The sequence below is a fragment of the Homo sapiens genome, chromosome 20 (genome assembly GCF_000001405.40).
Source record: "Homo sapiens chromosome 20, GRCh38.p14 Primary Assembly".
In the NCBI taxonomy this organism is placed as follows: domain Eukaryota; kingdom Metazoa; phylum Chordata; class Mammalia; order Primates; family Hominidae; genus Homo; species Homo sapiens.
In genome coordinates this window covers 33,106,009-33,131,942 of record NC_000020.11, presented here as the reverse complement: position 1 = coordinate 33,131,942, position 25,934 = coordinate 33,106,009, and the positions used below count along the sequence as shown (strand labels likewise).

Here is a 25,934-nt window from a genome sequence, read left to right as displayed (position 1 = left end):
AAAAGCAGGCATCTGGGGGCTGGAGAGCTCCCTGTGGGAGGCCTGGCCAGAGGGTGGTCTGCTGGGGATGGGGCAGACCAGCCTGGCCAGCGCCTCCACCTCCAGGGAGCTCTTCCCTGGAGTTTGATGCAGAGTCCTGGTGGATGCTCCATTTCTCTGGCTGTTCATAGCCTTCTGTGATTTATGCCAGGCATATTTCTACAGCCTTTGGAGGAAACACCATACTTGATGGTCAGAGCAACCTCTATGTTTTGTTCAGAATTCCTTAAAACCATGTGCCCCTCACACCATCTTTATTGAAGCAGGACAGACATACATAAAGGGCCCATACCATAGGCAGAGGGCTGTAGGGATTTGTACAAAGTGAAACTTCCCAGGGGTTAGGGACTAATCTGTGTCCCCAACCAGCACCCCAAATTTATATGTTGAAGTCCTAACCCCCCGTATCTCAGAATGTGACTGTATTCAGAGATAGTGTCTTTAACGAGGTAATTAATCCATTTAAAATGAGCTCATGAGGTGGGGCCTAGTCCAGTATGACTGGTGTCTTTATAAGAAGAGATGAGGACACAGACACACACAGAGGCAAGGCCATGGGAAGATGGAGCAAGGAGACGGCCATCTGCAAGCCAGTGAGAGAGGCCTTGGAATGAAACGGACCCTGCCAATACCTTGAGCCTGGATTTTGAGCCTTCCAGACGATGAGAAAAATAAACACCTGTTGTTTAAGCCACCCAGTCTGGGGTACTTTGTTATCGCAGCCTGAGCAGGCTAACATGCCACCCAACCAGCATCCAAGCAAAACATATGGCATCGTCCACATCCCCAGAGCCCCACTTAGGCCCCTCCCAGTCTCTAACTTGCCCCCAAAGGGAACTCCAGTACCATTCTCATGTCTCACACTGCAGATTCATTTGGCTGGGTTTTGAATGTTACGTAAATGGAATCGTGCAGAACGTGCCTTTTTGTGCCTGGTTCTTTCACTCAACATCACAGTTGTGTGATTAATCCATGTGGTTGTGTGCAGGCCTTGTTTGTTCATTTTAAATGCCTGAGTGTGCTCCATTGTGTAAGTTACCGCAATGTCGTTTTTCCGTCTACTGTTGATGGGTGTTTGGGCAGTTTCCAGTTTGGGGCTTACGTACAATGCTGCTGCAAAGCTTCTGGTGCCTTTTGGTGAACATGTGTGCTTATTGCTGTTGGGTGTGTACCCAGGAGTGGAATGGCTGGATCCTGCGGTTTGTGAGTATTCAGTTCCAGTAGACACTGCCAAGCAGATTTCCACATACACCATCTGATACTCTCACCAGCAATGAAGGCAAGTTCTGATCGCCAGCACTTGGCATTTCCCATTTTACACTTTAGCCATTCTGGTGGTATCACATGACCCTCACCCGTTTGCAAGTTGACGTCTCAAATTTTCAGCATGAGTTGAAGTAGTTGTCAATTTTATTTTCAGGGGATTGCAAATACTGACATTTAAAAGGAATACATTTATATTTCTTTATGTGCATTTATACATGTATCCAATGGACTACAAATTCCACAGTGGTTTGATTTCCACCTTCGTCCATTTACAAACATGTGAACTGGCCGGGCGCGGCAGCTCATGCCTGTAATCCCAGCACTTTGGGAGGCTGAGGTGGGCAGATCACCCAAGGTCAGGAGTTCTAGACCAGCCTGGCCAACATGGTGAAACCCCATCTCTACTAAAAATACAAAAAAATTAGCCGGGTGTGGTGGTGCATGCCTGTAGTCCCAGCTACTTGTGAGGCTGAGGCAGCAGAATCACTTGAACCTGGGAGGCAGAGGTTGCAGTGAGCCAAGATCATGCCACTGCACTCCAGTCTGGGTGACAGATTGAGACTCCATCTCAAAAAAGAAAAAAACCACAAAAAAGAAAAAACAACAACAAAAACGTGAACAAATTCTTTAACAGTCAGAAATTTTGTGGCATTCTTTTTTCTCCTTGAATTTGTATTTGCATTGCACAAAAAGCACTGTCCCCACAGAGTTTTAGTCTAATGTAATAGATATTTATGCTTGAAAGTCCGATGTTGATTAAACTCATTCATCCATTCCTTCATTTGCTCATTCCTCCATTCATCTAAATACAGTGTATTGAACGTCTGCTACAAGCCAGGCTCTGTACTGGGGTCACCAGGTGAGCAAAACAGACAAAAGCTCCTGTTCTCATATAACTGACATTTTAGTTGATATATAAACAAAGCAAATAAGTATAACAGTGATTGGTGGAGTGAGGGGGAGGCAGGCAGGGCAGAAGGAGAAAAGAGTTGAGGGGAAGGAGGAGAAATTTTAGATACAGAGGTCAGAGAAACCTTCCCTGAGAAGGTGACTTAGAGTGAAGACTGCAGAGGGTGAGAGAGGCAGCCATAATACTATTGAAGGTTGACCAGTCCAGGCAGAGGGACAGTACATGCAGAGGCCCTGGGGTGGGGAAGGTGCTGGTGCATTACAGGAATAGTTAGGAGGCCAGCAAAGCTGGTGTGAAGCTCGCAAATGGAAAAAACAGAGAATGAAGTTGGACAGGGAAGGAGAGAGGTAGACTCTTCTGCATCAGAAATATCTATCTTTGTTGGTGTGGATGCGGTGAACAGGAAACACTTCTACACTGCTGGTGGGAATGTAAACTAGTACAACCACTATGGAAAACAGCATAGAGATTCCTTAAAGAACTAACAGTTGAACTACCATTTGATCCAGCAATCCCACTACTGGGTTTCTACCCAGAGGAAGAGAAGTCATTATGTGTAAAGATACTTGCACATGCACGTTTATAGCAGCACAATTCACAATTGCAAAAAATGTGGAACCAACCCAAATGCCCATCAATCAATGAGTGAATAAAGAAACTGTGGTGTGTATATATATACGATGGAATACTACTCAGCACCTTCATCCATTTAAAAACATGTGAACTGGCCGGGCATATTCATTCCTTCAGAAAGGAATGAATTAATAGCATTCGAAGCAACCTAGATGGGATTGGAGATTATTATTCTAAGTAAAGTTACTCAGGAATGGAAAAACCAAACATTGTATGTTCTCACTTATAAGTGGGAGCTAAACTATGAGGATGCAAAGGCATAAGAATGACTTTGGCGGCCAGGTGCAGTGGCTCATGCCTGTAATCCCAGCACTTTGGGAGGCCGAGGCGGGTGGATCATGAGGTCAGGAGATCGAGACCATCCTGGCCAACATCGTGAAACCCCATCTCTACTAAAAATACAAAAATTAGCCAGGTGTTAGAGGCGCTTGCCTGTAGTCCCAGCTACTCGGGAGGCTGTAGCAGGAGAATTGCTTGAACCTGGGAGGCGGAGGCTGCAGTGAGCCAAGATTGTGCCACTGCACTCCACCCTGGGCAACAGAGCAAAAAAAAAAGAATGACTTTGGCAATTCAGGGGGAAAGGGTGGGAAGGGGGTGAGGGATAAAAGACTACAAATCGGATCCAATGTATACTGCTTGGGTGATGGGTGCACCAAAATCTCACAAATCACCACTAAAGAACTTACTCTTGTAACTAAATACCATTCCCCCAAAACCTATGGAAATATAAAAATTTGTTAAAAAGTAAACATTAAAAAAATATGTATCTTGATTAAATTTTTTTCAAATCTCCTTTGACCAGTGGACACTATGTATTTAAAATAATCTTTTAGATTGTTACTATTAATAGTGATATACAATTTATCAAAACAAATTTTGATAATAATTAAACACAAAGTAATATTGATTTGGAAATGGATGTGTTAATGACATGGATTGGGCTTTTTTCCAATTAGTTCTTTTAACAGATTTATAATTTGCTTATTGCTAGAAGGAGGCAGTGTTTAGCACTCATCAGAGACCTAATTTTCATTTTTAGAGACCTAAGCGCTCTTAAAAAACATCCGCTTATTTGTTTAGCAAATACAGGTCAGCAGATAAGAATGAACAGAGTTTTGGTAAAACAGTGTTGCTCAATTCTTTGAACTGCTTTCAATGTAAATGCCAAAAATCATGTGATGATGTTTTATCAAAAATGGTTTTGCAACAATTCCAGCAGATTAATACCACCACCAGCAGCAACACTCCTCTTTTGTTGAAAGCTAATTGAAAACCACCTGGCTTGCTTCCTGGCCACTGGAGCATCACTCTGTCCCTTTGTTCAGAGCCCTGGAGGTTGAGCCCCCCAGGCAATGCACTTGAGTAGGGGTTGGGGACAAAGAGAGAAATGCTAAGAAGCAGAAAGATTCAGTGGCAGCTCCTATCTGTAATCCCAGCACTAGGTGGGAGGATCGCTTAAGGCCAGGGGTGGGCAGGCTGCCTGGACAACACAGTGAGACCCCATCTCTACAAAAAATATGTTAGCTGGATGTAGTGGCTCATGCCTGTAATCACAGCTATTCAGGAGGCTGAGGTGGGAGGATTGCTGGAGCCCAGGAGTTCAAGTCTGCAGTGAATTATGATCACACCACTGCACTCCAGCCCAAGTGTCAGAGCGAGTTCCTGTATTTAAATTAATTAATTTATTTATTTATTTTTGAGACAAGGTCTCACTCTGTCACCCAGGCTGGTGTCCAGTGGCGTGATCTCAGCTCACTGTGGCCTTGACTTCCCGGTCTCCAGCGATCCTCCCACCTCAGCCTCTTGAGTAGCTGGTACCACAGGTGCGCACCACCAATGCCCAGCTAATTTTTGTATTTTTGGTAGAGATGGGGTTTCGCCATGTTGCCCAGGCTGGTCTCGAACTCCTGAGCTCAAGTGATCTGCCCACCTTGGCCTCCCAAAATGTTCGATTATCCCTGTACTTAAAAGAAAAAAACAGGAGAAAGAATGTGGAAAAAAAGATGGGAAAGGAGAAGCCACCCTTAAAAGGAAGATTCTTGGAAAAGAGAACACAGGAATGATGACACTGCAGAAATGGATTCATTTAAATAATCCTACATTCAAATCTGTGGACAGTTTTCTTGTATCCCTGCTCCAATCCACTGGATTAAAGATGGTCGAGGCATCTGTGGGCACTGGGTTTAAATCCTGAGTCTTCCATTTATGAGCAGTATGCTCTTGAAGTGGTCAGCTAACTTGACTAAACCTCAATTTCTCATCTGTAAAATGAGGACAAGAAAAAGTAAAGAAATAGGGAAATATAGGGCTTGGCCACGTGGCACCTGGCACATGGCAAGTGCTCGGAACATCTGAGCTGCGACTGTGACCATCCGAGCTGTGACTGTGACCATCCTGTCCATCTTCCTTTAGTAGAGAGCTATCACCATGGTTGCCGTGTTATCCTCATTAAGTAGGGGCAGTCTTGGAGGTGAAAGGGTCTGCAGGGCAGGGCTTCCAAGCCCCACAGCAGCTCCACCTGTTTTTCTATCAGGGAGCCCAGAAACCCCCATCTGAAGCCACGGCCATGCTGTGTCTTATATCAGGTAAATTGCAGCAGGGATACAAGAAAACTCTCCATAGGTTTGAGTATAGGATTATTCAAGTGTCAGTTTCAATGCTGATAGTGCAATGTGGACTGACTCCTAACCTCACCCCCACCTCCTCTGGCCACTTTCCAGGACCACACCTATGGCTGGATTTAAATTTCCCCCCATAATCTCTGTGGCTTAGGTTAGGATCTGGCGCTCTGATGTCAGGACAACCTGCATTTGAAACCGAACTTTGCTCATCATGCACCAGGTGACCTCAAGTGCCCTCTCTGGCCTCAATTCCCCTCTCTGGGCCTCAATTCCCTCACATGTAAAGTAGAGATAATGGTTGTTCCTGCTTTGAGGAGCCGTTGTGATGGCTGAATGAGTGCATGCCAGGAGCTTATCACTAAGCTGGGCACCGAGTAGACTCGATCCATTGTTGCTGTAATGATCAGAGGAAAGAGCCCTGCAGGCGAGATCAGGAGGCCTGAATCACCATCCCAACACTGCCTTTCCTCACCAGATCACCTTCCCATGCTTCAGTTCCCCCACTTGTGAAATGGGAATTCGAATCTCTGCTTTCTCTCTCAGTTCCCAGATGAGGGTCAAGTGAGATTGCAACCACAACATGCTTTATAACCCTCCTGTGGGGTAGGGCACTGCCCAAGTGTGCGGAGGAGCATGGGAACCTGCTCCTGGACCCCTGGCAGTACACTGGAGAAATAATAGACCCCCAGGGGTTAGTGGATGGAGGTTGGCGGGGGAATCACAGACTTGGCAAAGATTTCCAGGTCCACACTTGGCCCACAAAATAGTAGAGCTGCCTAAATTTGGATGACAATAGGGAAGGGAGGCTGTCCACATAACCACATAACCTGGCATATAGTAGTTGCTCAATTAATGCTCACTGGATGAAGGATCAGATGCTCAGATCTGTGACTCATGACAGGGCAGATCTGGGCAAAGACAGGACCTGGGAGTCTTTTCGGGTCCAGAAACTAGGAAAGAAGGTCCAGAACCAGAACAGTGACGACAAAAGGGTCCCAGCAACTTGAAGTGGAGAGGGCTGTGGCAAGACTGGGTGAGGACAAGAGCAGGTGGAGGAGGACTGATAGGGCCATGGCAGTGTGGCCTGAGAGACTGGGAGGGAGGTGTGGAATCCCCCAGGGGGCAGATATATGGCATCTGGTGAGGCCAACAGGTGAGATGTCAGCATTCAGGTGGGGCGGGGAGGGAGGCAGGTCTGGAGTCAGCTCAGGGCTCAGAACAAGTGTTCCTTAGAGCTGAGCCCCTGTGGCTCCCTTTGGGCAAATGCCCGGCTTGTTTTTATCAAACCTGGGCCATGCCAGCTTCTGTATTCGTCCTTTTCCGAGTCACCTTTTGCCTGGAAAGTGGCTGGGCTGGGAGTTGACAGCTGAGCTGTCACACTTGGCTCATACCTTGAGCAGGGGAGGGAGACACTCTTGGGGCTTGAGGGATCCCGTGGAACACCATCACATGTAAGTCACGGTCACCTGGACTTAGAGGTGGGCATCAAATACCTGGTTCTACAATCAACTCCATCACCTGCTTGCTGTGTGCCCCTTGCCCTCTCCAAGCCTTAGTTTCCCTGACTGCCTAAAGGCAAGAGTCGACTAAAGCAATGTTTCTCCAAGTGTCCCCCAATCCAGCTGCATCAGACCCACCCATGCAGCTTATTAAATTTGGATTCCAGTTCTCCATCCTGGAACTACTGAGACAGAAGCTCTGGGGAGTGTGGGCCTGGGGATCTGCAATTTTTTTACCTGCTGCCCTGGGGCTTCTATGATGAAGTGAGAGAAACTTTGATGAGGGCTCAGAGGCTGGGTCCTGACCCTGCCGTACTACTCCTGGTAAGTGGCCCTTTGATGTCCTGGGCCTCAGTTTCCACGAAAAATTAAAGGTCTTATGGGGGGAAGCAGGAGAGGACTTGCATTTCTTGAGCTCCATGCTGGGGACTTTTAGGCTGATGGTGTCAGTGAACCACAGACACTCACTCTGCTCCAGAATCATGTGCAAAACAGAAAGTTTAATCATTTGAGAGCAAGCATTGGTGACATTGGCAGGGTGCCTGCATCCAGTTGGAGAACCTCAGGCATGGCAGAAAGAAGGTGGTAGCTGGGGCATGGGATGGGGCTTCATGCCTGAGCTCAGACCTTGGGGCTTGGAAGTGGGGACACCTCAGGGATCCAGGCGGTAGCACTCACTTCACTCAAGGAGGTCTCATGAAATGAAATGCCAATGTCCACTTGATCAGATCCCCTCCCCTGCCCCCAGGGGTCTCCTGTCTTCCTCCAAGGCCCTGACTCCAGCCTTTCTCACTCCAGTCTACTTTGTCCATCTCAGCATATCCAATACCAATGTCAGGTACCTCTCCTCCCCAAGAAACTTCCGTAGCTCCCCACTGCCTGCAAGAGAAAACCCAAACTCTTCAGCCAGCCTTCCAGGCATCAATGCATTCATGATCTGGTACCAATTTACTATACCCATCTCCTGCTGCTCACATGTTCTCATGAGACTAGTCCTTTTTCTTTTCTCCAAACCCTCTTGTTTTTCCTTCTTGTTTTTCTGTGCCTCTACTCGCTATGGAGCAGTGAAAAAGAGCAGGTTCTAGGGTCATACTTGGGGCCATGTCCCAGCTGCTCCACTTGCTTGCTGGATGGACCTGAGCTGGTCGCTTAAGCTTTCTGAGCCTCACATCCTCATCTGAAATGAGGATAAGACCCCTTATTACCCAGGATGGCTGTGAGAGTTTCACAAAATAATCAATGGGTGTATTAGTTTATTTTCATGCTGCTGATAAAGACATACCCGAGACTGGCAAGAAAAAGAGGTTTAATTGGACTTACAGTTCCACATGCTTGGAGAGACCTCAGAATCATGGTAGAAGGGGAAAGGCACTTCTTACATGGTGGTGGCAAGAAAGAATGCGGAAGAAGCAAAAGCGGAAACCCTTGATAAACCTATCAGACCTCATGAGACTTATTCACTATCATGAGAACAACACGGGAAAGACCAGCCTCCATGATTCAATTACCTCTCCCTGGGTCCCTCCCACAACATGTAGGAATTCTGGAAGATACAATTCACGTTGAGATTATGGTGGGGACACAGCCAAACCATATCATTCAGCCCCTGGCCTCTCCAAATCTCATGTCCTCACATTTCAAAACCAACCATGCCATCCCAACAATCTCCCAAAATCTTAACTCTTTTCAGCATTAACCCAAAAGTTCACAGTCCAAAGTTTCATCTGAGACAAGGCAAGTCCCTTCTGCCTATGAGCCTGTAAAATCAAAAGCAAGCTAGTTACTTCCTAGATACAATAGGGGTACAGGCATTGGGTGAATACAGCCATTCCAAATGGGAGAAGTTGGCCAAAACAAAGGGGTTACATGGTCCATGCAGGTCTGAAATCTAGTGGGGAAGTCAAATTTCAAAGCTCCAAAATGATCTCCTTTGACTCCATGTCTCACATCCAGGTCACACTGATGGAAGAAGTGGGTTCCCACGGTCTTGGGCAGCTCCACCTCTGTGGCTTTGCAGGGTACAGCCTCCCTCCAAGCTGCTTTCATGAGCTGGCATTGAGTGTCTGTGGCTTTTCCAGGTGCATGATGCAAGCTGTCAGTGGAACTACCATTCTGGGGTCTGAAGGACGGTGGCCCTCTTCTCACAGCATCACTAGGCAGTGCCACAGTAGGGACTCTGTGTGGGGGCTCTGACCCCACATTTCCCTTCTGCACTGCCCTAGTGAGGTTCTCTATGAGGGCACCACCCCTACAGCAAACTTTTGTCTGAGCATCCAGGCGTTTCCATACATCTTCTGAAATCTAGGTGGAGGTTCCCAAACCTTAATTCTTGACTTCTGTGCACCTGCAGGCTCAACACCATGTGGAAGCTGCCAAGGCTTGGGCTTCCACCCTCTGAAGCCACAGCCCAAGCTGTATGTTGGCCCCTTTCAGCCACAGCTGGAGTGGCTGGGATGCAAGGCCCCAAGTCCCCAGGCTGCACACAGCACAGGGACCCTGGGCCCAGCCCACAAAACCATTTTTTCCTCCTGAGACCCTGGGCCTGTGATGGGAGGGGCTGCCATGAAGGTCTCTGACATGGCCTGGAGACATTTTCCCCATGGCCTTGGGGATTAACATTAGGCTCCTTGCTACTTATACAAATTTCTGCAACCAGCTTGAATTTCTCCCCAGAAAATGGATTTTTCTTTTCTATCACATAATCAGGCTGCAAATTTTCCAAACTTTTATGCTCTGCTTCCCTTATAAATCTGAATGCCTTTAACAGTACCCAAGTCACCTCTTGAATGCTTTGCTTCTTAGAAATTTCTTCCTCCAGATAACCCTAAACCATCTTTCTCAAGTTCAAAGTTCCACAAATCTCTGAGGGCAGGGGCAAAATACTGCCAGTCTCTGCTAAAACATAACAACAGTTACCTTTACTTCAATTCCCAACAAGTTCCTCAGCTCCATCTGAGACCACCTTAGCCTGGACCTTATTGTCCACATTACTATCAGCATTTTGGGCAAAGCCATTCAACAAGTCTCTAGGAATTTCCACTTTCCCACATTTTCCTGTCTTCTTCTGAGCCCTCCAAACTGTTGCAGGCTCTGCCTATGACCCAGTTGCAAAGTCGCTTCCACATTTTCGGATACCTTTTCAGCAACACACCACTCTACAGGTACCAATTTACTGTATTAGTCTGTTTTCACACTGCTGATACAGACATACTTGAGACTGGGAAGAAAAAGAAGTTTAATTGAACTTACAGGTCCACATGGTTAGGGAGGCCTCAGAATCATGGCAGAAGGTGAAAGGTACTGCTTACATGGCGGTGGCAAGAGAGAATGAGGAAGAAGCAAAAGTGGAAACCCCTGATACACCCATCAGATCTCGTGGGACTTATTCACTATTACGAGAATAGCACAGGAAAGACCAGCCCCCATGATTCAATTACCTCCCTTTGGGTTCCTTCCACAACATGTGAGAATTCTGGGAGATACAATTCAAGTTGAAATTGTGGTGGGGACACAGCGAAACCGTATCAATGGGCAATGCCTGGCACTGCTCTTGCACTTGCTAGGCATTTAATAAACACTAGCTCCTTCCCATTTACCCTCCTCTCTGTCACACCTGACCTGTGTCCGTGAATTTACACTCAAGAGGTCACTTCACCTAATCCAAAAACTAACCCACTAACACCAAAAGGCACAAGGATTTTCTCACCCAAAGAGCCCCTAGGTTGAGCTGTGGGTGCTGCCTTGTCCAAGACTCCCAAGTCACTGGGAGAGGATCCTGGCTGGGAGCACAGGGCAGGAGAAGAGGCCTTGGGAAGTCTTTACTCAAAGAGGCTCTCTTGAGCTGGGGCCGCACTGACACTAGTGAGGGCTACACTGAAGGGAAGGCCTCAGGCGCAGTGCCTGGCTGCAATTCCCAGAGAGAATAACTGGGTTGTTTTGGTGCCCTTTGGGAATTTCTTTTTTATTTAAAAAAATCAATTTCTGTGGTAATTTTTTAAAGAAGGTACAAATTCGCTAGAAGAAAAAAAGAAATCAATGTCACCCTCTGAGATAACCACCACAAGAATGATGGTGTATCTTCTTTCAGAAGCTTTTCTGTGCACATACAGGTAAAGTTGGGTAAAATTTTCCCTAAATAAAAATGGGATTATGCCCTGCACAGTGTTTTTATAAGCTCTTTTTTCATGTAGCAATGTATTACAAATACGTTTCTGTGTCTTTTGTTAACAGTGATAGAGTACTCCACCGCATATATTGAACATAATTATTTTAACTATCCTCCTCCTGTTGGTCATTAGTTGTTCCTCATGTTTACAAACCACTCTGGGATTGACACCTGGGCCTTCAACTTTGCTCACCTGCTTCACTACCAACTGGAGAACCTGTGGTGAATTAAAGATGATCACATATTCTTTGCCACTCATTCCATTGCTGGGTGGAGTCCACTTCCTGTCTCCTTGAATCTGGGCTGACTCATGGGCTATTTTGACAAAAATAATAGTAGAATTGACACTGTATAACTTCCAAGGCTAGGCCTTAAGAAATCTGTAGCTTTCACCTTCGCCATTCTGGAATGTCTTTGTTTTGAACCCAGCCACCATAATAGGAGGAAACTCAAGCAGTTATGTGGAGGAGAACAGAGGCTCCCTAGCCAAGAGTCCCAGCTGAGCTCCTAAACAGTGGCTGACAAAACTACCAGCTGTGTGAGTGAGGTCATTTGGACTGTTCAGCTATCCCAGTGCCCCAGCCAACGCCACACTTAGAACTACCTAGTTAATCCACAGAAGCATGAAAAATAATAAAGTGTTGGGTTTATTAAGCTACTGAATATCGAGGTGGCTTCTGATGCAGTTGAAATAAGAAACCAAGTATTTCCTGGGAATCACCAGCCTGCTGCTTCTGGGGGATGCTCTTTGTCTTTCTGAACCTCACTTGCCTCATCTGAAAAATAGGAGGACTGGAGTAGCATAGTACTCTTTTTAGTAGTCAACCTGCAAATAAGATTATCAGTGTGGGATTGAAGGTCAGGGTGGTGAAGCTAAGAAGAAACAAAGTGAACCACTTCAGAGATGCTAGGGTCACTGAAAATGAGATATGAATAATACAGGGTGGTTGCAAGAGAACAGAAAATCCCAGGCAGCAGTTTCACATGACTAGTAAAATGAAACTGTTGAAATAGCTGATAAGATGGTGAAAAATGGTGTGCACCAAACTGGCTAAGACCAACTGGACCAAACATGGCACTGGATTTGACCTAGGTTTCACCTAGGCCCTCATTATATGATCATTAACATACTAAATTACACACCCACCAGCACCATGACAGTTCCAGGAACATCCATATTTGGTGTAAAAATGAATGGCACCACAGTTCTGAAATGTCCACTTTTTTTCAGGAATCTTTATGAACATTCCACCCCTTGATTAAAGAAATCCACAAAGGTAGCAGCCTCAAAGCCCCTCGCATGACTCTCTTAAGTGCACCTGCACTCCCCTTTTTTTGAGTGAGTACTTTTCACTTTGCAATAAATCTCCATACTTTCACTATTTTCTGACTCATCCTTGAATTCCTTCTTGCAATGGTGTCAAGAGCCTGGATGCTGGCTGGAGTCAAGGTCCCATTGGCATTTGGGGACCTCCCCCAGCCCACCGGTAACATCAGGGTTGTATGCCATTGTGATAAGACTGATGAAGTGGCCACTTTGTTGAACCTAGAAAGGCTCTCGTGACCACCTTGACTAACTGTGTATAAGCAGAAGTGACACTACGTGACTTCCAAAACCAGATCACAAAAGTACCATGCAGCTTCCATTTTGCTCCCTTGGGATACCAGTACCCAGTACCCAGAGGGGCCATGTGTAGGTGTCACAGCTGACAGCCAACATCAACCAGCCGGCAGGTGAGTGAAGAAGACTCCAAATGATTCCAACCCCCTGCTCTCAAATCACCCCGAGTTGTTTGAGTCTTCCCAGCTGAGGACCCCGGACATCTTGGAGCAGAGATAAGCTGTTCTGACCCACAGAATCTGTGAGGAAGCTAAAATTGTGTTTTGTGCTATTAAGTTTTGAGATGGTTTGTTACTCAGGATTAATAGCAGAAACATCTACTAAGTGAAGTCTTTAGGAGGCTGCTCGAGTTTGTTATTTGTCATCTACAACTGAATTAAGACATTAGCGGAGATACATGGCATATTCTGCCATGAAATCTGCTGCCACACAGGGCTTCCAGGAGCCCACAGCACTTACACACAGACAGCTGGAATCCTGACATTTTAAGGAGCATCTATGATCATCAGTGAAACCTCTGTATCATCCCAAACTGGTGGAGATGCTCAGTGAGGCTTTCCTTGTGTTTAAATTTAAAACAACCGTTCACTTGGTTTTGTCATTGTCAATGCAGGGTGCAGTGATGGCTTGATCCACTGTCATGAGCAAGAATGGATCAGTGTGGTCTGAGCCCTGGACCATCAGGCTGGGTGTTGAGGCCCCTCTCCTGAGTCAGCAGCACTAATCACATCCTGCTTCACTCCTCTTCTCCAGAATTCCAAGCCTTCCTGACCATCCACCGTCATCTGGGCACTCAGCCCCATGCTGCTCTGCCCAAATTCTCATCTGGCCCAATCCAGTCTCTTCCTCCTTCCCTGGTCTCCCAAATCCTTCCATTTTTTCACTTTACAAGAACACATGAGCATGTCATTTGACTTTTGAGAAATCAGACCCAGTGGAAAATGAAATGGGTTATTTTATTTTTTATTTATTTATTTTGAGATGGTGTCTCATACTGTCACCCAGGCTGGAGTAGAGTGGCATGATCTTGGCTCACTGCAACCTTTGCCTCCTGGGTTTAAGCAATTCTCCTGCCTCAGCCTCCCAAGTAGCTGGGATTACAGGGGCATGCCACCATACCTGGCTAATTTTTGTATTTTTTTTTTTTTAGTGAGAAAAATAATAATTTTTATTTAATTCAGAAGTTATCTAAAGTTTAATTCAAAATATGGACTTGAAAAGGTTATTCATGAAACAAAGTAGTAAGGAATCAGTAAGTAGGGGAGAGTGATGTGAAGAAAGTTACAGATATGGGCTGGGCGTGGTGGCTCACGCCTGTAATCCCAGCACTTTGGGAGGCCGAGGGGGGCGGATCACAAGGTCAGGAGATCAAGACCATCCTGGTTAACACGGTGAAACCCCGTCTGTACTAAACATACAAAAAATTAGCCAGGCATGGTGGCGGGTGCCTGGAGTCTCAGCTACTCGGGAGGCTGAGGCAGGAGAACAGCGTGAACCCGGGAGGCGGAGCTTGCAGTGAGCCGAGATGGCGCCACTGCACTCCAGCCTGGGCTACAGAGTGAGACTCCCTCTCAAAAAAAAAAAGAAAAAAAAGAAAGTTACAGATATGAAGATGTGTTTTTGGTAAGGAAGGGTATAAAGAAAAGAGAATACTTTCATATGAGAAAGGATGGTAAATTGTAAGGTAAATTTTTGTCCTAAAGTAAAATGACTGGTTATTTAAAAAAAAAAAAAAAAGTTGAAAAAGCTTAGATAGTAAAATATTCTTTAAAAGCTGATAGAAAATTGGAGAAATTCAGCGAATTAACACTGTTCATAAAGTTCTTAATCTTGAAGAAAGTAAAATAAAAAATATTGTAAAGAAATACATTGGCAGTTTGGCCATTCTTTTTTAATAAAGTTAAGCATGAAGCCAGATTTAGTTAGCATGGAGCCAAATTTCACATATATGCTTGCATTGCTTCACACTATTTTTGCTATTCTGCATAGACAGTTTCAGCACTAAAGTACTTACTGGTCATGTACCTAAAGTGAATTTCTCAATTGCAAAAAATACATAATGGTATTGGTGGACTTAAAGACATTAAATTGTGTACCAGGAACAAAATATTCATCATTTGTTTTTGTAGGCTCTGGGCAATACTATAGCCTCCTGGGTAAACCAAGTAAGAGAAAAATTGGGGAGTGGTTTCCTGTTTGTTTTTTTTTCTTCTAATTTTCATTTATTTGCTGTTTTTTCTCCTTTGCATTTTGCTTATATAAACACATAAAACACCATTGATTTTTTTTAGTTTCTAACGGAAGGCTTTTATTTGGTTCTATAAATAGTCATTTTGTTTCCTATGGATTTCCAAGAATTCACTATCTGCTCTATTTATCCAAAAATTCCTAAGCTACCATTATCAAGCCTCTAAAAATTGATAGAGGATACCAGGTATTTGAAATTTGATTGGTTTTGCTACTTCTGATGCTCCCGAGAGCTATGAGAGCTTTAGGGTTCCTGGTGAAAAAAATTACATAAAAGACTTTTATAAGTTCTAAGCAGAAATAGTACATTATATATCTTGTTATTTGGAAAAGTAGATGAGAATAAGATTTTCTAAGTGGTGTTTGTTTCCAAAGAAATTCAATTCACTTAATAATTTGAATTGATTTCAGATCTTTTCCTTTAGGTCATGAAGAGAAACTGATATGGGTGCAAAGTTTTTTTTTGTTTTGTTTTGTTTTTTTATTGATCATTCTTGGGTGTTTCTCGCAGAGGGGGATTTGGCAGGGTCACAGGACAATAGTGGAGGGAAGGTCAGCAGATAAACAAGTGAACAAAGGTCTCTGGTTTTCCTAGGCAGAGGACCCTGCGGCCTTCCGCAGTGTTTGTGTCCCTGGGTACTTGAGATTAGGGAGTGGTGATGACTCTTAACGAGCATGCTGCCTTCAAGCATCTGTTTAACAAAGCACATCTTGCACCGCCCTTAATCCATTTAACCCTGAGTGGACACAGCACATGTTTCAGAGAGCACAGGGTTGGGGGTAAGGTCACAGATCAACAGTTTCCCAAGGCAGAAGAATTTTTCCTAGTACAGAACTAAATGAAAAGTCTCCCATGTCTACTTCTTTCTACACAGACACGGCAACCATCCGATTTCTCAATCTTTTTCCCACCTTTCCCCCCCTCTCTATTCCACAAAACCGCCATTGTCATCCTGGCCCGTTCTCAATGAGCTGTTGGGTACACCTCCCAGACGGGGTGGTGGCCGGGCAGAGGGGCTCCTCACCTCCCAGTAGGGGCGGCTGGGCAGAGGCGCCCCTCACCTCCCGGACGGGGCGGCTGGCCGGGCAGGGGGCTGACCCCCCCACCTCCCTCCCGGACGGGGCAGCTGGCCTGGCGGGGGCTGACCCCCATCTCCCTCCCGGACAGGGTGGCTGCCGGGCGGAGACGCTCCTCACTTCCCAGACGGGGTGGCTGCCGCGCGGAGGGTCTCCTCACTTCTCAGACGGGGCGGCCGGGCAGAGACGCTCCTCACCTCCCAGACGGGGTCTCGGCCGGGCAGAGGCGCTCCTCACATCCCAGACGGGGCGGCGGGGCAGAGGCGCTCCCCACATCTCAGACGATGGGCGCCGGGCAGAGACGCTCCTCACTTCCTAGATGTGATGGCGGCCGGGAAGAGGTGCTCTTCACTTCCCAGATGGGATGGCGGCCGGGCAGAGACGCTCCTCACTTTCCAGACTGGGCAGCCAGGCAGAGGGGCTCCTCACGTCCCAGACGATGGGCGGCCAGGCAGAGACGCTCCTCACTTCCCAGATGGGGTGGCGGCTGGGCAGAGGCTGCAATCTCGGCACTTTGGGAGGCCAAGGCAGGCGGCTGGGAGGTGGAGGTTGTAGCAAGCCGAGATCACGCCACTGCACTCCAGCCTGGGCACCATTGAGCACTGAGTGAACCAGACTCCGTCTGCAATCCCGGCACCTCGGGAGGCCGAGGCTGGCGGATCACTCGCGGTTAGGAGCTGGAGACCAGCCCGGCCAACACAGCGAAACCCCGTCTGCACCAAAAAAGTACGAAAACCAGTCAGGCGTGGCGGCGCGCGCCTGCAACAGCAGGCACTGGGCGGGCTGAGGCAGGAGAATCAGGCAGGGAGGCTGCAGTGAGCCGAGATGGCAGCAGTACAGTCCAGCTTCGGCTCGGCATCAGAGGGAGACCCTGGAAAGAGAGGGAGAGGGAGACCGTGGGGAGAGGGGGAGGGGGAGGGGGAGGGAGAGGGAGAGGGAGAGCACCGGGTGCAAAGTTTTAATGTTCAGGAAAGATTAGCCTTGTTCTTTTTTTTTTGAGATGGAGTCTCACTCTGTCACCCAGGCTAGAGTGCAATGTCGTGATCTTGTGTCTGGAATTGGTGGGTTCTTGGTCTCACTGACTTCAAGAATGAAGCCGCGGACCCTCACAGTGAGTGTTACACTTCTTAAAGGCGGCGTGTCCAGAGTTTGTTCTTTCTGATGGTCGGATGTGTTCGGAGTTTCTTCCTTCTGGTGGGTTCATGGTCTCGTCTCGCTGGCTGCAGGAGTGAAGCTGCAGACCTTCACGGTGAGTGTTACAGCTCTTAAGGCGGCGCATCTGGAGTTCTTCGTTCCTCCCAGTGGGTTCGTGGTCTCACTGGCTTCAAAAGTGAAGCTGCAGACCTTGGCGGTGAGTGTTACAGCTCATAAAGGCAGTGTGGACCCAAAGAGCGAGCAGTAGCAAGATTTATTGCAAAGAGCAAAAGAACAAAGCTTCCATGGTGTGGAAGGGGTCCCAAGTGGGTTGCCCTAATTTTTGTATTTTTAATAGAGACGGGGTTTCACCATGTTGGGCAGGCTGGTCTTGAACTCCTGACCTCAGGTGATCCGCCTGGCTTGGTCTCCCAAAGTGCTGGGATTACAGGCATGAGCCACCATGCCTGGCTGAAATGAGTTATTTATAATGCCAAAACTTTTTTTTAAGTTTCAAAAATCCTCTCAAAAACTGAATAGCAGAATAAATCAAACTTGTTAAAGGATGTGGGTATGTTTTAAGATGTCCGACATAAGTTGGTGTGAAGCCTCCTGAGGAAAGGGTGGGAGGGCCCCGTGGAGGGCTTCACTTTCCCTTCTTCAGCAGAGGACTAGGGAGAGGTGGGCTGGGGAATGGGGATGGGAGAAGACCCTGCAGGACCTTGTGGGCAGTGGTGAGGGTCTGGATTTTGCTCTGCACCCATGAAAAGCTCACGGAAGGAAAACCTGGGGAGGGAAGTGATTGGATCTGCAGTTTTAAAAATCCAGACCTGTTACAGCTGACTGGAGAATAGATGGTACAGAGGTAGGAGATCACCAGGACTTGTTTTCCGAGCACTGGTCATAACTTTGATCATTACCCTCCTAATCAGAGCAGGATTTGTTCAAAAGAGGGTGCAGTGAGGAAGCCAGGGAAAACCAGCAGATGGCCACGAAGGCGACTCTAGTTGCCCTCACTGCATAAGGACACTCCCACTGGGCCACGACAGTTTACAAATGCCATGGCAATGGGCCATGGCAACAACTCAGAAGTTACTTAAATGGTTCCAGAAACTTCCAGCTCTTTTCCCAGAAAGTTCCAAATAACTCACCTCTTAACTAGCATGTAATTAAAAGTGGGTTGACATACAGCTGCCAAAAGCCTATCCGCTGCTCCTCTGCACACACTGCCTGTGGGGTAGCCTTGCTCTGCAAGGAGCAGTCCCTCTGCTGCCATGCATTGCTGCTTCAGTAAAAGTTGCTGTCTGACACCACCAGCTCGCCCTTGAATTCTTTCCTGGGAGAAGCCAAGAACCCGCCTGGGATAAGCCCCAATTCTGGGGCTCACCTGCCCTCCATCAGTCAGAGCAGGAGTGGAAGGTGGGGGAGCACTGGGGAGGCTGGAGCAGTGGCCCAGGGGAGAGATGATGGGAGTGGAACCAGGGTGGTGCAGGGATGGAAACAAATGGATGAATTCATGAGGATTTATAGCAGGTGGTTCTAACACAGTGGAAGGAAAGAGAGGGCAGCCATGACAGGAAAGGAGCAGCCTCCTCCCCAAGCACCACCCTCTAAGTAAGGACTTCCTCCCCTTTAGCCCTTCCCTGGGCAGGCTGGACAGGAAGTCCCACCCTGCTTCTTTCTGAGCCCCTTCCTCCTCCAAGGGGTTAGGGTTTGGCCGTTACCAAGGAGACCAGGAGGCACCTAGACCCAGGAAGCTGCGGAGGGAAGGGTGGTGGGCTGTGAAGGCCCCCAGAGGGGTCTCTGATGATGTGTTTCCTCCTCAGAGACGCCTTCCCTGACCACCCAATGGTGCCACCTCCTTTCCCCTTCCCTCCCCAAGAGGAGTCCCTGTTTATTCCCTTTATAGCCCCCATGACAATCTCAAATGACCTCTGTTTATTGATTTACTCGTTATTGTTTACTTAGGCCGTAATTACTTAAAGTCTGTCTCATGGACTAGAACCTAACCTTCATGAGGAAGCCCTGTATCCCTTGTCAAGTGTAGAAATCCCAGTCCCTAAATCATTGCTAGACAGTCAGTGAATGCAAGAATGGATGGATGGTGAAGCCAGAAATCTACTATTGAACCCGACAACCCAGTAGCTTAGATTCCTGATATTTAAGTAAAAGAAAACAACAGAGACATAAAAAAAAGTCTTTTTAAAAATCACTAGGAGGAAAAAAAAATCCTTAATTATGTAAAAGGGACTTCAGTATTTCTGCACGCCTTCAAGGCTGGGATCAAATAACTCTCCTAAACTGCTCTGAATGTGCCCTATGGCTCTACAGGGAGATGTGGCACTGTCCCTAGGAGGGGTCCCCTGGGCACTGTCTCGGCCAAGAGACATGCCAAGGACCCCTCCTTGTCCTCAGTTTACCTCTGACTAGAGGCAAGGGGTTCCACAAGCTCACACTTTAGGAATTAGTGGACTTTGTTACTAACCACAGTGAGCACATATTGAGCACCTACTGCATGTCAGCCTCAGTGTTAAGTGCCTCAGAAATACCTGATCTTATTTAATATCCTCACACTCATTTTGGAGTATAATAATTATTACTATTATCCATTTTACAGATGGGAAAATTGAGATTCAGAAAGGCTAAGGACCTCATCAAGTCACACAACCAAGTGACAGAGTTGGGATTTGAACCTCATCCTCCCTACTCCAAAACTCCTGCACTTTAATGACCTCCTGATGCCAGAGTTGAGAGTAGTGAAGTACGAAAATGTCCTGGTGGCAGGGGACCCTCTCCATAGAATGCTGTGTGGTTGTTTTAATATGAAGAGACAGGTTGCTTCCCCCGCTGTCCCCAGAGGGACCATCATTCCCGCAGTTGTAGCTACAACTGCCAAGTGCCCGGGCGCAGCCAAAGAGGGAAAAAAACCCAAACCATCCAGACCCTGAGGGAGGGTCCTTCATGGAAACTCGTCACAAGTGCCGGGAAAGTGGAGTCTTTTATTGAAAGTGGGAATACTCAACCTGCTGTCAGGATGGGGTCTGAGAGGCCTCCAGCCCCAAGGTGACTCCCCTCCTCCTGGCAGGCTGACCATGGAAGGGAATGTTTGCCAACAGGGTAGTGGCTGGACCCTTTCTCAGGGTTGGGGCAAGGGAGGAAGAGGGTTGGGGGGCCAGGGAGGGACCTGTCATGGAGGCTGAGGGGACTCTGGGCAGGGGACTGTTTCCAGGCCGAGCCTCTCTGGGACTGGTTCCAGCTTCTTCCAGTTGCAGCAGCATCTCTGCCTCTGTCACTCATGCGCTCAGCACCAAAAGGTCCTTGGATGGCAGAACAGAGTAGCCGGTGATGGGTGGGGTGGCTCTGGCTAGAGCCTTGCTACTCACCTGCCTACGGATCTGGCCGGTCATGTTTCTAGGAAGCAGTAACTCTGAACAGCGGAGATAAAGGGGTCATGCAGGCCCGAGGAGCACCTGGCCAGGTCATTATCTGGCCCTGTGCAGAGGACCTTGGGCAAGACACTTCCCATCCCCTTATTCCCCAAAATAAGAGAAGTAGGCCTGAGTCCCTCTTCACAGTCTTCCAAAATCCAGTTTTCATAATTAAAAAAAATTTTTTGGCCAGGCGTGGTGGCTTACGCCTGTAATCCCAACACTTTGGGAGGCTGAGGCAGGTGGATCACCTGAGGTCAGGAGTTCGAGACCAGCCTGGGCAACATGGTGAAACCATATCTCTACTAAAAATACAAAAATTATCTGGGCATGGTGGCACGTGCCTGTAATTCCAGCTACTTGGGAGGCTGAGGCACAAGAATCACTTAAACCCGGGAGGTGGAGGTTACAGTGAGCCGAGATCGCGCCATTGCACTCCAGCTTGGGTGACAAGAGCAAAACTCCCTCTCAAAAAAAAAAAAAAAAAAACTTCAACAAAATAAATAATAAAAGTAAGAGATGATAACCCATAGACCAAAAAAAAAAAAAAATTCGTGAGTCTCTATCGACAGAAATAAATAATTAAATGGATAAATAAATAAATGGAAGAGAAGGGACAGCTCTTCCTCGGTAGAATTCCAGCTGACACATGTCAAAGGAATTGGAGAAGCAGAATATCACCATTAGGCACACACCACAGTCATAACAGTTGCAGACAAAACCGTGAACACTGAATGGCAAAAATTAGTGGGAGAAAGTCTAACGAGAAACAGGATATTTGCATGGTCTCCTGGTACCTCCTCACAAGAGATTGATTAGCTACTAAGGGAAAAATAGTAATTTTACAGTGAAGAAGCACTTAAGCAAGCACTCAAAGTGAACACCTCCAGGAATAAGTCACATGGACATCGGTATCCCCTGAAAGGATGCACTGGGGACTGCGTCACTTCTGTGGTGTTCTTGCCAAAACCACAAAACTTCAATCCAATTGTGAAAAAAGTGTCCATCAAATCCAGGGCATATCGCACAAAATAGGCCAGACTCATCAGAAATGTCAAGGTTATGAAACACAAGGAAAAGGTGAGGAATTGTCCCACCTTGGAGGACTCTAAAGAGACATGACAACTGAATGCAAGAGGGGATCCTTGACTGGACCCTGAACCAGACCAAAGGCAATAGAGGGGAAACTGGTGAATACGTCTGCAGATTCTTCACGGTTTTGTACCAATGTTAATTTCTGGGTTTTGATCATGGTACTCTGTTTATGTAAGATGCTAACATTAGGGGGAGCTGGGAGAAGGGTATTCTGGAACTGTCTGTACTATGTTTGCAACTTTTCTGTGTGCCTAAAATTATTTCAAAATAAAAAGTTAAAATAAATGGCTAGACCTATATAATAATAATAATAGCAGCTGCCATTTACAGGGGGCCTACAGGGTCAAGCCTGGGACTGAGGTTTTCTTTAAACCTTTCAAACCCAATACCCATTACACATTTGATTACAGGCATTTGTGTTATCTCCCTTATTATTCTGGAATAAGGTTCACAGATTCTATAACCTGTGTATACCTATATTTCAAAAACCAGTATAATTCCCTTACCAGAATATGAAGGAGAAAGAAAAGGTAAGTCATTTATAATAAAATAATATGTATTTTGATATGAAAATATGCACACATTCAGGAAAGAAAAATTCATCTCCACCAATTTCAAAAAGGCCCTGGGGGCCAGGGAGGGTGTAGTACAGCCCCACTGAGAGCCATTGGTTTGAGCTGCTTCACACTGTTTTGGTGGAAACTCTAATTCTCACCAGCTGGGTGACCTCGAGCAAGTGGCCTACCCTCTCTGATACTCAAGTCCTTCATCTACTAAGTGAGGGCAAACATCAACCAGGGCTGTTGATGGCCAAGTCCATGAAAGGTCATGTGGTAAGGCCAAGTCCATGAAAGACTATGTATGGGGCACTGAACATCTCAGTAAATAGTAGAGATGATGATGATGATGATGATGAAGATAAACCTGTGCCAATCCTGTTCGTGTTTCCTAACCCCTTTGTTGAAGTGAATAATAACATTTTATAATAAAATGCTGTATCTCGTTTAATTTCTCACCACAAACTGTATGAGGTGGCCATTATCGTTCCCCATTTTCAGATGAGAAAACTGAGGCTCAAAGCAGTGCCGAGGTCCTACAGGATCTCAAGAGACTGGGCCAAGGCAGGGGACTGTCCCAGAGCCAGCATCTGACCCCTGCCCACACTGCCCATCCAAGGTCATTGTCCACCTCCCTTGACTGACTCCCTAATGTGGGAAGGGGGCTGTTCCCTGGGTCTGAGCCTGTCATGAATGTGAGGGGCAAATGTGAGGGGGCAATTTCCTTCGGCAAGGAAATTGTCAATCTGGCACAAAGGCCCCATTCATTCCATTTCTGGGAATTTGTTCCAAGGAACTAAATCTAGAATCAAGAAACAGTTTATGCATTGAGATGTTCACTGCAGCATCCTTTATTACAGTGATGGTATTTATAATGGTGGACACTTCCAGAAGTGCTTATTATGTGCCAGGCCTGTGCAAGGCACGTTACACACAGAATCCCATTTTCTCCTAAAAGCAGCCCTATGGGTAGGTAGTATGATTAGCCCCTTTTTATAGAGGAAATAAATGGAGGCTTGGAGAGGTTACCCAGCTGGAAACTGGCAGAGTTAGGATTTGAACTGGGGTCACTGGGCTCCAAGCCCTCGTTCTTTAACCCCAATGCTCTACTGATTCCCTGAGCAAAGCCATGTTTAAAAATAAAACTTCAGAAAGACTGGAATGAAAAGCAGCAAAATGTTCTCAGGGGGAATTGCTGGATTGTATATATGTCTATATATATATATAGACATATATATATGGATGCATACTTTTTTTTAATCTTTTCCATATTTTCCAAATTTCAGATATTGAGCACGGGTGGTTTTTATAGTGGAAACAAGAACCCCTGCATGTGAACTTCAAAGCACCTGCCATGATTATAATTAGCCAATTACTTCGGGAATATTTACCAAAAGGCCATCTCCCCATTGGGCTAAGAGAGCTTTGCAAGGGCCAGGGTTGTCCTTGTTCACTGCTGGATCCCCAGGCCCCTGCATAGTGCCTGGCACACAGTAGGTGCTCAATAAAAGTTGCTCCAATGAACTATACCACATTCCATTTTGGGCAAGCCCCTTACTGCTGTGAGCCTCAGTTCTCACATCTGTAAGATGGCAACAATGACACCTGTGGTGAGGGCTAAATGAGACTGAATGGGAGAGTGTCTTCAAGGATCCTTAACAGCTCTGCTCCTTGTTCCCTCAGCCCCATGCTTGGAAGGAAGAGGACCCTGTTTCCTCCCCTTCCCTCCTCTTCTCTTCCTCTTCCAAGTTCCTGGCCTGAATGCAGTGGTCAAAGGTGATGAGCAAAGGGCAGGGAGGAAAAGCAGAATGGAGCTCGATCTCCTCTTACCTCCAACACGTCAATGTCTGCATTGCTAAAGTCGATGTTGAGGATTTTGGGGAGAGGGACGCCAGAACCCAGCACAGCTGTAAAATAAAAAACAGTCAGACATGGTCAGTGGTCCAAGAGGTGTTGGTCTCACCAGAAGCCGCCAGTATTTGTAAGAAGATTGGCAATTTCTTTTTTCTTTTTTTGAGACAGAGTCTCGCTCTGTTGCCCAGGCTGGAGTGCAGTGGCACAATCTCGGCTCATTGCAACCTCCACCTCCCAGGTTCAAGTGATTCTCCTGCCTCAGCCTCCCAAGTAGCTGGGATTATAGGCACATGCCAACATGCCTAATTTTTGCTTTTTTTGTTTGTTTGTTTGTTTTGTTTTTTGTTTGTTTGTTTTGTTTGTTTTAGTAAAGACAGGGTTTCACTATGTTGGCCAGGCTGATTTTGAACTCCTGACCTCAGATGATCTGCCCCCACCTCGGCCTCCCAAAGTACTGAGATTACAGGTGTGAGCCATGGTGCCCACACCTGGCAATTTCTTTTTCTTTTTCTTTTCTTTTCCCTTTTCTCTTTTCTCTTCTTTTCTTTTCTTTTCTTTCCTTCCTTCCTTCCTTCTTTCTTTCATTTTTTTTTTTAACTGAGTCTTGCTCTGTTGCCCCAGCTGGAGCGCAGAGGCACGATCTCAGCTCACTGCAACATCCACCTCCTGGGTTCAAATGATTTTCTTGCCTCAGCCTCCTGAGTAACTGGGACTACAGGCGTGCGCCACCACGCCCAGCTAATTTTTGTGTTTTTAGTAGAGATGGGGTTTCACCATATTGGTCAGGCTGGTCTTGAACTCCTGACCTCGTGCTCCACCCGCCTTGGCCTCCCAAAGTGTTGGGATTACAGGCTTGAGCTACTGTGCCCGGCCCTGGCAATTTCTTTTATGCCTCTAGGCCTTTGTCCTTGCAGTTCCTCCTGCCTGGTGCACATTCTCTCACCCTAGCATCCCTGGTGAGTTCTGAGCCCTCTCTGAGACTGTTCAGATGTTACCTCCTCTGCAAGGTTTTCTGGACCCCAAACGACTCAAGGCTCCTGCAGCACCCCCATCCCACCTCCGAACTGCTCTATTAGAGAAACCATAAAATATTAATTATCTGTTTCTGTATCTGTCACGCCCACCACATTGTGAGTTCCCTGAAGGCAAGAACTATGTCCCCTTGGGAGGCCAAGGTGGGTGGATCACTTGAGGTCAGGAGTTTGAGACCAGCCTGGCCAACATGGCAAAAACCCATCTCTACTAAAAATACAAAAATTAGCTGGGTGTGGTGGTGCACAGCTGTAATCCCAGGTACTCGGGAGGCTGAGGCAGGGGAGTCTCTTGAACCTGGGAGGCAGAGGTTGCAGTGAGCCGAGATCGTGCCACTGTACTCTAGCCTGGGCCACAGAGTGAGACTCCATCTCAAAAAAAAAAAAAAGAAAGAAAAGAGCTGTGTCCCCAGCATCACCCAGCCCTTCGCCCAGTCATAGAGGAGATGGCAAATGTTTGCCGAGTGAAGTAATGGAAAGTGCACGTGGAGCCCTAGCCATTGACTCTGCCGTGGGATGTGCTGTTTGTTTTCAGATTGTCAGAGCCTAAGTAAACCTGCTAATTACTGTTCTAGAAAGAGAGCAGGAAGAGAGAAAAAGAAGTGGGGTAGGAAAGAGTGGATGGGGGAAGTAAATTAAGTGAAATTTAACAGACTTCTCTATTCCAGCAGGACTTTTCAAAAAGCTAAGGACATTGTGAATCTACCCTGCAGGAGTATCTTCAGCACTTCCCAAACTTGCTCGGCCATGGAACGCT

At 46.8% G+C, this 25,934-nt stretch overlaps 1 protein-coding gene across 1 annotated transcript in view, besides 1 other annotated feature; it reads right to left on the bottom strand.

Annotated features, from left to right (window-relative positions):
- Nucleotides 11,986-12,245: an enhancer, noted in NCBI's record as "active region_17726". NCBI's record gives its function as "activates an Ori minimal core promoter by ATAC-STARR-seq in GM12878 lymphoblastoid cells {active_cell/tissue: GM12878}" and the evidence as "EXISTENCE:reporter gene assay evidence [ECO:0000049][PMID:35858748]".
- BPIFB4 (BPI fold containing family B member 4) overlaps nt 20,192-25,934 on the bottom strand; it is a 32,109-nt gene continuing 26,366 nt past the window's right edge. Inside the window, exons 17-18 of the mRNA NM_182519.3 lie at nt 24,123-24,199; nt 20,192-20,529 (exon numbers count right to left, since the gene is read on the bottom strand). Of these exons, the coding sequence (NP_872325.2) occupies nt 20,506-20,529; nt 24,123-24,199 (101 nt within the window). The 3' untranslated portion in view covers nt 20,192-20,505. The remainder of the gene's footprint in view (nt 20,530-24,122; nt 24,200-25,934) is intronic.